The sequence below is a fragment of the Homo sapiens genome, chromosome 19, assembly GCF_000001405.40.
Source record: "Homo sapiens chromosome 19, GRCh38.p14 Primary Assembly".
NCBI lineage: Eukaryota > Metazoa > Chordata > Mammalia > Primates > Hominidae > Homo > Homo sapiens.
Window position 1 is genome coordinate 19890238 of NC_000019.10, and position 12952 is coordinate 19903189.

Sequence of the window (12952 nt, forward strand, 5' to 3'; positions counted from 1 at the left end):
TCATATTTCTTCCTAATAATCAGTAATCACTTGCTACAGCCATTCCTGTTTGGATTACTGCAGTTTCTCTGCTTCTGTAACATTTACCTTTAGACTCAGCAGACTCAAACTGTCATTCTAACATATCACTGTTTCAGCATTTTATGTCATGGGAGACATTAGCCGGTGTCTAAAAAAGTTCATAGATGCCAGAAATAAAGATGTATGTGCCAATATTTTTCTTATTTTTAAAAAAGAAACCAGGAGTTGGCAATTTATATTTGTGTGTGTGTGTGTGTGTGTGTGTGTGTGTGTGTGTGTGTGTGACAGAGTCTCACTCTCTTACCTAGGCTGGAGTGCAGTGGCAAAAATCTTAGCTCACTACAATCTCCGTCTCCACAGTTGAAGCAATTCTCCTGCCTCAGCCTTCAGGTAGCTAGGATTACAGGTACCTGTTACCATGCCTGGCTAATTTTCTGTATTTTTAGTTGAGATGGGGTTTCACCATGTTGGTCAGGCTGGTCTCAGTCTCCTCACCTTAGGTGATCCACCTGCCTTGCCTTACCAAAGTGCTGGGGTTACAGGCATTAGCCATCATGCCTGGCCAACAATTTAATTTTTTTTTTTTTTTTTTTTTTTTTTTGAGATGGCGTCTCACTCTGTTGCCCAGGCTGGAGTGCAGTGGTGCAATCTTGGCTCACTGCAGTCTTTGCCTCCCTGGTTCAAGCAATTCTCTGCCGCAGCCCTCCGAGTAGCTGGGATTAAATGTGCCCGCCACCATGTCTGGCTAATTTTTTGTATTTTTAGTAGAGACAAGGTTTCACCATCTTGGCCAGGCTGGTCTTGAACTCCCGACCTCATGATCCACCCACCTCAGCCTCCCAAAGTGCTGTGATTACAGGCGTGAGCCACCATGCCCAACTGGCAATTTACTTTTAAAAGCACAATGTTATACTGGGCAGCAGGAAGAGCTGTGTTGGGTATAACTAACAGAGCTTTCTTTTTCTTCTATGTGGCTATTTGCATTCTGCTCACCTGGAGCCCTTCACACACTTAACTCATTTATAAATTTTTTACAATTTTATTTTTGTCACTATGTTTTTGTTACATTTATGTGTCCAGGAAGAAATCAGAACTGGTGGTATTTTGCTATGTCATCTTGCTTATGTAGTTTGTATAATTTTATAGGTTAGATTTGTAATGTATATTTATCTGAGTCTAGCAATTGAAGTAATGTGTTTTTATTGTTTCTTTTAGTTATGAGTTCTCATTTTGCCCAAGACCTTTGGCCAGAGAACATACAAAATTCTTTCCAAATAGGGATGCTGAGAAGATATGAAGAATGCAGACATGACAATTTACAGTTAAAAAAAGGCTGTAAAAGCGTGGGTGAGCATAAGGTGCACAAAGGAGGTTATAATGGACTTAACCAATGTTTGACAACTACCCAGAAAGAAATATTTCAATGTGATAAATATGGAAAAGTCTTTCATAAGTTTTCAAATTCAAACACATATAAGACAAGACATACTGGAATAAATCTTTTCAAATGTATAATATGTGGCAAAGCTTTTAAACGGTCCTCAACCCTTACTACACATAAGAAAATTCATACTGGAGAGAAACCTTACAGATGTGAAGAATGTGGCAAAGCTTTTAACCAATCTGCAAACCTTACTACACATAAGAGAATTCATACCGGAGAGAAACCCTACAGATGTGAAGAATGTGGCAAAGCCTTTAAGCAGTCCTCAAACCTTACTACACATAAGAAAATTCATACTGGAGAGAAACCCTACAAATGTGAAGAATGTGGCAAAGCCTTCAACCGATCCACAGACCTTACTACACATAAGATAGTTCATACTGGAGAGAAACCCTACAAATGTGAAGAATGTGGCAAAGCCTTTAAGCACCCCTCACACGTTACCACACATAAGAAAATTCATACTAGAGGGAAACCCTACAACTGTGAAGAATGTGGCAAATCCTTTAAGCACTGCTCTAACCTTACTATACATAAGAGAATTCATACAGGAGAGAAACCCTACAAATGTGAAGAATGTGGCAAAGCCTTTCACCTATCCTCACACCTTACTACACATAAGATACTTCATACTGGAGAGAAACCCTACAGATGTAGAGAATGTGGCAAAGCTTTTAACCATTCCACAACCCTTTTTTCACATGAGAAAATTCATACTGGAGAGAAACCCTACAAATGTGATGAATGTGGCAAAACCTTTACCTGGCCCTCAATCCTCTCCAAACATAAAAGAACTCATACTGGAGAGAAACCCTACAAATGTGAAGAATGTGGCAAATCCTTTACTGCATCCTCAACTCTAACTACACATAAGAGAATTCATACTGGAGAGAAACCTTACAAATGTGAAGAATGTGGCAAAGCTTTTAACTGGTCCTCAGACCTTAATAAACATAAGAAAATTCATATTGAACGAAAACCCTACATAGTGAAGAATGTGACAGATCTTTTAAATGTTCCTCCACTTTTAATTAGCATAAGATAATTCATACTGGAGAGAAACCCTATGAATGTGATGAATGTGGGAAAGCCTTTAACCAGCCCTCGACTCTTAGTAAATTTGAGAGTTTATATGGAACACAAACCCTACAAATATAAAGAATGTGACAAAGCTTTTTAAGGAAGTTCTCAACCCTTATTACACATAATTCATACCAAACAGAAGCCCTACAAGTGTGAAGAATGTGGCAAAACCTATAAACCTATAACAAGTTCTCAATTCCTTTTTTTTTGAGATGGAGTTTCACTCTTGTCACCGAGGCTGGAGTGCAATGACATGATCTCCGTTCACTGCAATCTCTGCCTCCTGGGTTTAAGCCATTCTTCTGCCTCAGCCTCCCAAGTAGCTGGGATTACAGGTGCCCAACACCACGCCTGGCTAATTTTTGGATTTTTAGTAGAGATGGGGTTTCACAATGTTGGCCAGGCTGGTCTCGAACTCCTGACCTCAGGTGATCCACCTGCCTTGGCCTTCCAAAGTGCTGGGGTTACAGGCGTGAGCCACCATGCCTGGCTACAAGTTCTTAATTCTTAAGAGACACCATGCCTGGCTACAAGTTCTTAATTCTTAAGAGACATGGCGATAATTCATGCTGAAGAGGAAATCTGGAAACCTGAAAGATGCGACATTGCTTTTACCAACACCTCCACATTTCCTATACATAAAAATAAATTATACTAGTGTAATACCCTAGAAATGTATAAAATGTGACAAAGCCTTTATATGATTGTCATACATGATTGTAGGTGATAGAAGTCATACTGCCAAAACTCCTGTAAGTGTGAAGAATGTGGCAAAATATTTTATTAGTGCTTATACCTTATTTCACAGGAAAGCTCTTATCCTTGAGAAAAATTGTGCAAATACAAAGAATATGGAAAAACCATTAATGCCTACTCACATCTTACTGAACAGAAGAAGGTTCATAGTTAATAAAGCATTAAAAGTGCAATTACTGTCAAAAAATCTTTCAGAAAATAGAAGTCTTTAAAGTGAAGAATATTTATTCTGAAGACAGCCATTACAAATATAAAGGGGGTTGTAGTGCCTTTACTTGTGTCACAGATCTTAGTGCACACATGTAGTACTAGAGGAAAACCCTGAAGCAGTTGCTCAAGCTTTGTTTCAGGGAATCAAGGGAATTTATATTGAGAATAGTACTGCAAATGTAATGAATGGAAAGACTTTTCTTTTCCAAAAATGACAGCTTAGAAAACACCAGAGGGTTTATACCAAAATATATTTTTGCAGATGCAGTAAATATCAAAAAATATTTAATTCAAAATTGATTCTATGTAAATATCAGAGAATTTTCCATAGAATAATTAAGGCACTGACACTTCAGACATTACACTAAATCAGAATGTTCAGTATAAAAACTAATCCACAGCTACAGCTGTTAGATAAATTATTTCTATATAATTTTTTAAAAAGTGGATTTTTGAAGCACTGTAATTACATTGAAAGTATACTTGTTTTCTTGAAAAAATTTTTTTGAAAAGTGAATAATGATATAATACAGCTTTCACATTGCTTTATGCTATTTTATTCCTATTATATTCACATGTGAAAGCATGTGATCAATTGTTGCTGCATTAGAGATATTAGAGATTGTTTTTTATTAGTTGGGCATTATGTATGACCTTTTCTATAAAAGAGTAAGGACATTAAAATGTAAGATGCATGATGAAAATATAAGTGGAGAGGCTCTTTGTAGTTAACTGATATTAAGTAATGTGTAAGGTGGGGGTTCATGTTCTCATTTCTATAATCCTAGCCAATGACTTAATGTTGATGCTTTGAATGTCTTTTGGATGGTCTAACCTACATTAACATGTATGCGGAACATCTTAAAACTTTTTTTCAAAAATCATAATGAATTATTTTATTAATAAGCAAAGATAAAAAATAAGGTGGGGTTTCAGAGTAATGCTTTTCTACATTATAGTGACAGAAAGAAATTATTAATTATAGTTAAAAATATTAAAATACAGCCAGGTATATTTATTGGTTTAGACAGGTTTTAATATAATATTTATGGTTCTTTAAATATAAAGTTGTATGGGATGGGTGCAGTGGCTCATGCCTGTAATCCTAGCACTTTGGGAGGCTGAGGCAGATGGATCACTTGAGGTCAGGAGATCGAGACCAGCCTGACCAACACTGAGAAACCCCACCTCTACTAAAAATACAAAAATTAGCTGGGCATGATGGCACATGCCTGTAATCCCAGCTATTCAGGAGGCTGAGGCAAGAGAATTGCTTGAACGTGGGAGTTCTCAGATTACAGGTGTGCGCCACCATGCCTGGTTAATTTTTGTATTTTTAGTAGAGACGGGGTTTCACCATGTTGGCCAGGCTGGTCCCATACTCCTGACCTGAAGTGATTCGCCCACCTCGGCCTCCCAAAGTGCTGGGATTACAGGCATAAGCCACCGCACCCTGCCTATTTTTTTCTTACTGAAATTTATTATTAGTATTTGTGGGTATATTGTATGTGTATATATTTATGCCTTATATGGTATATTTTGATTCAGGCATACAATATGTAGAAATTTCATTAGGGTAAATAAGATATCCGTCACCTCTAGCGTTTATCATTTGTATTACAAACAGTGTAATTATACACTTTTAGTGCATAATTTAATGAAGCAGGTGGATTGCCTGAGGTCAGGAGTTCAAGATCAGCCTGGCCAATATGGTGAAACCCCGTCTCTACTAAAAATACAAAAATTAGCTGGACGTGGTCGTGCATGCCTGGAGGCTGAGGCAGGAGAATTGCTTGAACCCTGGAGGGACAGTTTTTTAAATAAGATTAAGGACTGAGGACTGGTTGGGGCTCATAAATGATATGAGTAAAGTGTTAGCTAAAACAGAAGAAAAAGGGGTGCCCAAACAAGTCACCTTAAAATTTGATGCCTGTGCTGTCATTAATAGTAATAAGTTAGGAATAAGGTGTGGTTCTCTTAATTAGAAAAGAGGCTATATGGCAGAAAATAAATACAACTGTCATAAATTAGCACTGTGTGGAAATAAATGTGAACACTGGTCTTGTGTCATTTAGGCCACTTGGATTAAAAAAAAAAATGAAAAAGATCCATCCCACCTTCAGAAAGGAAAAAATGGCCCTTCCTGTACTCAGGGACAATGTAACCCCTTAGAGCTAGTCATAACCAATCCCCTTGATCCTCGCTAGAAAAAAAGAGGAGCATGTGACCTTAGGAATCGACGGGGCCAGACTGGATCCTTGAGTAAATATCTTGGTTCGAGAAGCTTACAAAGACTCTCCTGAGCCAGTGTTTCAAACTTTCTATGATGAACTAAATGTGCCAGTACCAGAAATTCCAGGAAAAACAAGAAATTTGTTTTTGCAATTAGCCAAGCATGTAGCCCAGTCTCTCAATGTCACTTCATGTTATGTATGTGGAGAAGCTGTAATAAGAGATCAATGGCCATGGGAAGCCTGAGAATTAGTACCTACAGTACCTGATGAATTCCTGGCTCAAAAGAATCACCCTGATAATTTCTGATCCTAAAAGCCTCAATTATTAAACAATATTGCATAGCTAGAGAAGGAAAAGAATTCACTCACCGCGTAGGATGACTTAGTTGTCGGAGACAGAAACTGTATAATGGTACCACAAAAACAATCACTTGGTGGAGTTCAAATCACACAGAGAGAAAATTTAGTAAATTCTCAAAGTTGCAAACTGGACCCACCTGGAGTCCCACCGGGACTGGACAGCCCCCACTGGATTATACTGGATATGTAGGCATAGAGCTTATGACAGATTACTGACCAGTAGGCAGGTAGTTGTGTTATTGGCACTATTAAACCATCTTTCTTCCTACTGCCCATAAAAACAGGCAAACTCCTTGGCTTCCCTGTCTACGCTTCCCGCGAAAAGAGAATCATAGCTATAAGAAATTGAAAAAATGATAAATGGCCCCCTGAGAGAATCATACAATATTATAGGCCTGCTACTTAGGCACAAGATGGCTCATGGGGATACCGGACCCCCATTTACATGATCAACCGAATCATATGGTTACAAGCTGTCTTAAAAATAATCACTAATAAAACCAGCAGAGCCTTGACTATTCTGGCCTGGCAAGAAACTCAGATGAGAAATGCTATATATCAAAATAGATTAGCCCTCGACTACTTGCCAGCAGCTGAATGAGGGGTCTGCAGGAAATTTAACCTTACTAATTGCTGCCTACACATAGATAATCAAGGGCCAGTTGTTGAAGACATAGTTAGAGATATGACAAAACTGGCACACGTGCCCATGCAAGTGTGGCATGGATTTGATCCTGGGGCCATGTTTAGAAAATGGTTCCCAGCGCTAAGAGGATTTAAAACTCTTATAATAAAAGTTATAATAGTAATAGGAATCTGCTTACTGCTCCCTTGTTTGCTACCTGTACTTCTTCAGATGATAAAAAGCTTCATTGTTACCTTGGTTCACCAAAATGCTTCAGCACAAGTGTAATATATGAATCACTATCGATCTGTCTTGCAAGAAAACATAGGTAGTAAAAATAAAAGTGAGAACTCCCACTATTGAGAGTCTCAAAGTGGGGGAATAAGGGAGGAGACCACCCCTCATATTGTCTTATGCCCAATTTCTGCTTCCAAAGAAAGAAAAAGTAAAAACTAAAAGGCAGAAATGAAATCCACAAGCAGACAGCCCAGCGCCACACCCTGGGCCTGGTAGTTAAAGATCAACCCCTGACCTAATCGGTTATGTTATCTACAGATTACAGACATTGTATAGAAATGCACTGTGAAAATCCCTATCCTGTTTTGTTCTAATCTAACTACCGGTGCATGCAGCCCCCAGTCATGTACCCCCTGCTTGCTCAATCAATCATGACCCTCTCACACACATCCCCTTAGAGTTGTGAACCTTTAAAAGGGACAGGAATTGCTCACTTGGGGAGCTCAGCTCTTGAGACAGGAGTCTTGCCAATGCCCCTGGCTGAATAAACCCCTTCCTTCTTTAACTCGGTGTCTGAGGAGTTTTGTCTGTGGCTCGTCCTGCTACACCCTCTCCAGAATCATGGGCCATAGTTCCAGGGGAGAACCCTTCCAAACTAAAGCTAAGAAAATTTACCTATCTTCCATCTGTTCTGTTACTCCTTCTCCTTTTCCCCTTCTATTGCTAATCCTCTCGTTATTAATGTAACTAGGTTGGGCTCACCCCAAACTATTTCCTTTAGTGCTTGCCTCATTATGCCCTGTGAAAATCTCCAGAGTCAAAAACAGCTCTCAGCCTCAGAGAAATATCTCTGTCACTTTTGGACAAGAGGCTCCCCCTAACACGACTCCTGTTCTTTAACAAATGTAAAAAAAACAGGCCTGCCACAGCTGGAATGATGTTTTATAAACAATCGAATATCAGGGCTGGACCTCATCAACAAGTGGTTGTATGTCCTTAAAGCCATATATTTGCTTTGCTAAAGGAAACACTCCTTCCAATTGCCAGTTTAACCAATGTAATCTGGTGCAAATTTCTATTCTCACCCCCACTTCTATGGATCCTAACCCCACTTTGATTTGAGCTGCTTCTATGGCATAAGACCCAACTTGGCTGGCACAAATCTCATAGGGTCTTTCAAAATGCGTCTAATCATCCCTCATGCTCTTCACTCCCCTCTCTTCTAAGCTCTTTTCTAACCAGACTGTCATATCTTCTATGCCCAGTGATAAGACTAAAATAGATATTGTAAAAGTAACTAATTTAAGGCAAACTTTAACAATTAAAACAAGATACCAAGATACAAATGCCTGGTTAAAATGGATCAAATATTCTGTGCACACATTAAGCAAAAGCAATTGTTATGCTTGTGCACGCGGCCAGCCAGAGGCCCAAATTGTCCCTTTCCCACTCAGATGGTCTTCTAGTTGACCAGGCATAAACTGTATAGTAGCTCTTTTCCAAGACCCCACAGCCTAGGGTAATAAATCCTGCTGAGCTCTCTCTCTGCTATTTCTTAAAGTCCAACACCCTGTGGGTCAGGCCCCAAGAGCCATCCAGCCTCCATCTCCTAGCGTCAATTTTACCTCGTGTCTCTCACGACAAGGGGAAAACTTGGCATTTCTTGGAGACTTAATGGGATACAGTGAGCTTAAGCCTTTCCAAGATCTTACCAGTCAGTCTTCCCTTGTTCATCTTTGAGCAAATATATGGTGGTATTGTGGTGGACCCTTACTGGACACTCTGCCAAGTAACTGGAACGGCACTTGCACTGTTGTCCAGTTGGCTATCCCTTTCACTCTGGCATTTCATCGACTAGAAAAAGAAAAACCACAACACTGTAAAATAAGAGAAGCCCCTTATGTGTCTTTTGACTTTCAAGTTTATTTAGACACAACTGGAGTCCCACGGGTGGTACCTGATGAATTCAAAGCCCAAGATCAAATAGCTGCAGGATTTAAATCAATATTTCCACGGGTAACTATTAATAAAAATGTAGATTAGATAGATAAATCACATCTATTATAATCAATATTAGTTTATTAATTACACCAGAAATGCTGTCAAAGAAATAGCCAACCAATTAAGGCCTACTAGCCAGATAACTTAGAAAAACAAAATGGCCCTGGACATAATATTAGCTGAAAAAGGTGGAGTTTGTGTTATGATTAAAACTCAAATGTTGTACCTTCATCCCAAACAATACTGCCCCCAATAGGAACATAAGAAGGGCCTTACACGAACTTACCACTTTATCCAATGAATTAGCTAAAAATTCTGGGGTCAATAACACGTTTTCAGAATGGCTAGAGAGGTGGTTCAGTAAACGAAAAAAAGTCATAGCCTCAATTCTTACTTCTCTTATAGTTGTAATAGGTGTACTAATTCTTGTTGGGTGTTGTGTCATACCATGCATCTGTGGGCTAGTACAAAGACTTATAAAAACGACACTTACGAAAACCTCCCTTAGTTCTCCTCCACCTTATTCAGATAAACTTTTCCTTTTAAAAGATCAAGTCAAACAACAAAGTAAAGGTATGTTTAAAAAGTTTTAAAAAGCGTGTGGTCGCAGTGGCTCACGCCTGTAATCCCAGCACTTTGAGAGGCTGATGCGGGCGGATCACCCGAGGTCAGAAGTTAGAGACCAGCCTGACCAATATGAAGAAGCCCCATCTATACTAAAGACACAAAATTAGCTGGTCGTGGTGGCACATGCCTGTACTCCCAGCTACTCGGGAGGCTGAGGCAGGAGAATTGCTTGAACCTGGGAGGCAAATGTTGTAGTGAGCCAAAATCGTGCCATTGCACTCCAGCCTAGGCAGCAAGAGCAAAAACTCCATCTCAAAAAAAAAGGTTTTTTTTTAATTATAAAAATTAAAAGGGGGAAATTGTAAAATACAATAAAATTCCTCTTCAAAGGTTTAGTCTTAACTTTCTTGTTCTTTGTTCTCAAACTCAACTTGCTTGTTCTCCATGCCTCCTTGCCCCTAGTTACTGTAACAACCTTCCTTCCCAACAGCTCTAATCAATAATTCACATCTGTTCCCTTGATTACTCACTCTGCAGCCTTCCCACCCTTCAAAACCACACGTCCCACCACTGTGACTTATACATGCCCCTTCCCTTCCTTATTTGGAAAAATATTTACAAATAGCCAATCGGGTCAGTTTAGATTGTGGGGTCCGACCCTAGCCCATGGGGGAGTAACACAGAGGAAGAGACTTTACGTTAAAAATAAAAACCCCTTCCCTCCTTTGTTCAGGGTGCTCTTGCGATCGTGATTAATGCAAACAAAAACCTTTTGCAGAAGTAAATTGCCTTACTAAAAAAACTTTTGCCTGAGTACTGGTTTCACTTTGCGACACCAAACACTTTACTTCCAACGGTATTATTAATATGACAACGAAATACTTCTGTTCACCTTTTCAATACATTCAAAAAGAGAGAGTAAAAAAGAGAATGTTCCCATGCTCTGGGGTGGACGTGGCTCAGCTCAGAGAGGAAGCCCTGGCTGAAAAGGCTGCAGCTTAGGCTGTTACTCTTCTTCACTCAGCCCAGCATGTGATCACATCTTCTGTCACTCAGGTCCTGAGGGGGCGGGACCTTAAGAATTATCCAATCAGGGACGCTGGGCTGGAAACGTCCAATCAGGCAAGCAGCCGGACCGAACAGGGCGGCTTCTGGTTTGGCGGGTCCTTTGTCTCTCGGTGCAGCCGGAGCTCCAGGTCTCCTCTTCACTACTCTGTGTCCTGTGCTCCTACAGGCCCAGCCTCTGTGGCCCTGTGACCTGCAGGTATTGGGAGATCCACAGCTAAGACACCAGGACCCCTGGAAGCCTAGAAATGGTGAGAGTGCCGGTCCGACATCCCAAGCGACGGGGAGGGGCTGGTTGGAACCGGTGGAAAGTGACGGTGGCGGGACTCAGGTATCCCCTTAGTCAGCTCCACAATCTGCGCCGGAGTTCTTGCCCAGCTCGGCCTCGGTTCCCTTCAGCCATAAGATGGCGGCTGCGCTTATAGCGCAGCCCCCAGGCGTCCTGTCTCTTCACTGTGCGGTGACTGTGCCCTGGCTTGGAGCCCTCGCTGGGCAGCTGCGCACCCGCAGAGCCGCTTCTCTCCCAGATTGTGCAGAGACCACGGGAGAGTCGTCAGGGGAGAATCCTGACTCGGAGTGCGGGTTCACGAATGGGAAGAGCTTTAGTGGGTTGGGTTCACAGTTTCTCTTTTCTCCTATTAAAAATTTATGGGGCTGGGCAAGGTGGCTCACTCCTGTAATCGCAGCAGTTTGGGAGGCCGAGGCGGGCGGATCACTTGAGGAGTTGTTAGGGCAGCTAAGTTCCTCTTCAGAGACTCAACTTCCTGGTCATAAGTTGTAAAAATTGTAAATCAACCCTACCCCTTCTTTTTCCCCATTCTCCTTTTCTCAAAACATCGCGCGTTTACCCTATATGGAAAAAGTTTGTGTCTAGCCCAACCAGGATCAGCTTAGATTGTGCGGTGGGACCTCAGCCAATATGGGAAGGACACAAAAACCGGAACTGCGTTAGGGTTAAATCCCCTTCCTGGCCCAGCGCGGTGGCTGATGCCTGTAATCCCAGCACTTTGTGAGGCCGTGGCGGGTGGATCACAAGGTCAGGAGTTCTAGGCCAGCCTGGCCAACATAGTGAAACCCCGTCTCTACTAAAAATACAAAAATTAGCCGGGATTGGTGGCAGGCGTCTGTAATCCCAGCTACTTGGGAGGCTGACGCACGAGAATTGCTTGAACCTGGGAGGCGAGGTGCAGTGAGCCGAGAGCTTGCCATTGTACTCCAGCCTTGGTGACAAAGTGAGACTCCGTCTTAAAAAAAAAATAGACATCTTAAAATTTCCTTCCCTTATGTAAATACTGTGTTTGAGTAATTTCACGGATTTTTCAAACACTGAGTTTCAAAAACCAAGTGAATAACTCTGACATGACAAAGCTTGAGCCTAGTGACTCCAAGCTAAGGCTAATATTAAGCCTAAAACAGAAGGTTTTTTTTTTGGACAGAGTTTTGCGTTTTGCTCTTGTTGCCCAGGTGGAGTACAGTGGCGCAATCATGGCTCACTGAAATCTCCACCTCCTGGGTTCAAGCGATTCTCCTGCCTCAGCCTCTCAAGTAGCTGGGATTACAGGCATGCACCATCATGCTTGGCTGATTTTGTGTTTTTAGTAGAGACGGGTTTTCTCCATGTTGGTCAGGCTGGTCTCGAGCTCCCGGCCTCTGGTGATCTGCCTGCCTTGGCCTCCTGAAGTGCTGGGATTACAGGCATGAGCCACAGGGCCCAGCCAACAGGAGTTTATAAAGTCCTATTTAGCTTTTTCTGGGGAGCCTCCCCTGCAGATGTCCCAGCCTATTCACCGGAGCCATGGAAGGAGGCGTTATTCTGAGAGAAGGTACAGAGCCCCAGAAAGCTGGGGCCCCACAAGCAGATGCAGTTAAGGTTAAGATGAAAGGAAACTGGGAGGATCTTTTTTTTTTTTTTTTGAGATGGAGTCTCGCTCTGTCGCCCAGGCTGGAGTGCAGTGGTGCGATCTCGACTCACTGCAAGCTCCGCCTCCCGGGTTCACGCCATTCTCCTGCCTGAGCCTCCCGAGTAGCTGGGACTACAGGCACCCACCACCACGCCCGGCTAATTAAAAAAAATTTTTTTAATAGAGACGGGGTTTCACCGTGTGAGCCAGGATGGTCTCGATCTCATGACCTCATGGTCCACCCGCCTCGGCCTCCCAAAGTGCTGGGATTACAGGCGTGAGCCACCGCGCCCGGCCTTTGGGAGGATCTTACTGACGATGAAGTTGTTATTGTTTTGAGGAACATTTTAGACTTTGTAAAATAAAAACGTTAATTTATGTAAAAGATGAATTTCAAAAAAGTATTACAACAGGAGGAAGTACCAACTAACTCTAAAATCTTTATGGC

The 12952-nt window shown here is 41.6% G+C and overlaps 2 protein-coding genes across 4 annotated transcripts in view, besides 4 other annotated features; both read left to right on the forward strand.

Annotated features, from left to right (window-relative positions):
- Positions 1-4437, forward strand: part of ZNF253 (zinc finger protein 253) — a 28845-nt gene extending 24408 nt beyond the window's left edge. For 2 of the 3 annotated variants that reach the window (NM_001331133.1, NM_001331134.1), the window contains one exon: positions 1237-3247. In NM_001331133.1, coding sequence (NP_001318062.1) covers positions 1237-2510 — 1274 coding nt within the window. In that variant the 3' untranslated portion in view covers positions 2511-3247. Of the gene's footprint in view, positions 1-1236 lie in introns of all 3 variants that reach the window. The other variant, NM_021047.3, reaches the window with a different exon arrangement.
- Positions 10679-11278: an enhancer, noted in NCBI's record as "active region_14376". NCBI's record gives its function as "activates an Ori minimal core promoter by ATAC-STARR-seq in GM12878 lymphoblastoid cells {active_cell/tissue: GM12878}" and the evidence as "EXISTENCE:reporter gene assay evidence [ECO:0000049][PMID:35858748]".
- Positions 10679-11362: a biological region, named in NCBI's record as "NANOG-H3K27ac-H3K4me1 hESC enhancer GRCh37_chr19:20011859-20012408".
- The window catches only part of ZNF93 (zinc finger protein 93), a 34630-nt gene continuing 32386 nt past the window's right edge, over positions 10709-12952 (forward strand). Inside the window, exon 1 of the mRNA NM_031218.4 lies at positions 10709-10854. Coding sequence (NP_112495.2) covers positions 10852-10854 — 3 coding nt within the window. The 5' untranslated portion in view covers positions 10709-10851. The remainder of the gene's footprint in view (positions 10855-12952) is intronic.
- Positions 10813-11362: an enhancer, noted in NCBI's record as "NANOG-H3K27ac-H3K4me1 hESC enhancer chr19:20011859-20012408 (GRCh37/hg19 assembly coordinates)". NCBI's record gives its function as "activates a minimal SCP1, AML or CMV promoter by ChIP-STARR-seq in naive H9 embryonic stem cells {active_cell/tissue: H9 hESC(naive)}" and the evidence as "EXISTENCE:reporter gene assay evidence [ECO:0000049][PMID:30033119]".
- Positions 11911-12460: an enhancer, noted in NCBI's record as "H3K27ac-H3K4me1 hESC enhancer chr19:20012957-20013506 (GRCh37/hg19 assembly coordinates)". NCBI's record gives its function as "activates a minimal SCP1, AML or CMV promoter by ChIP-STARR-seq in primed H9 embryonic stem cells {active_cell/tissue: H9 hESC(primed)}" and the evidence as "EXISTENCE:reporter gene assay evidence [ECO:0000049][PMID:30033119]".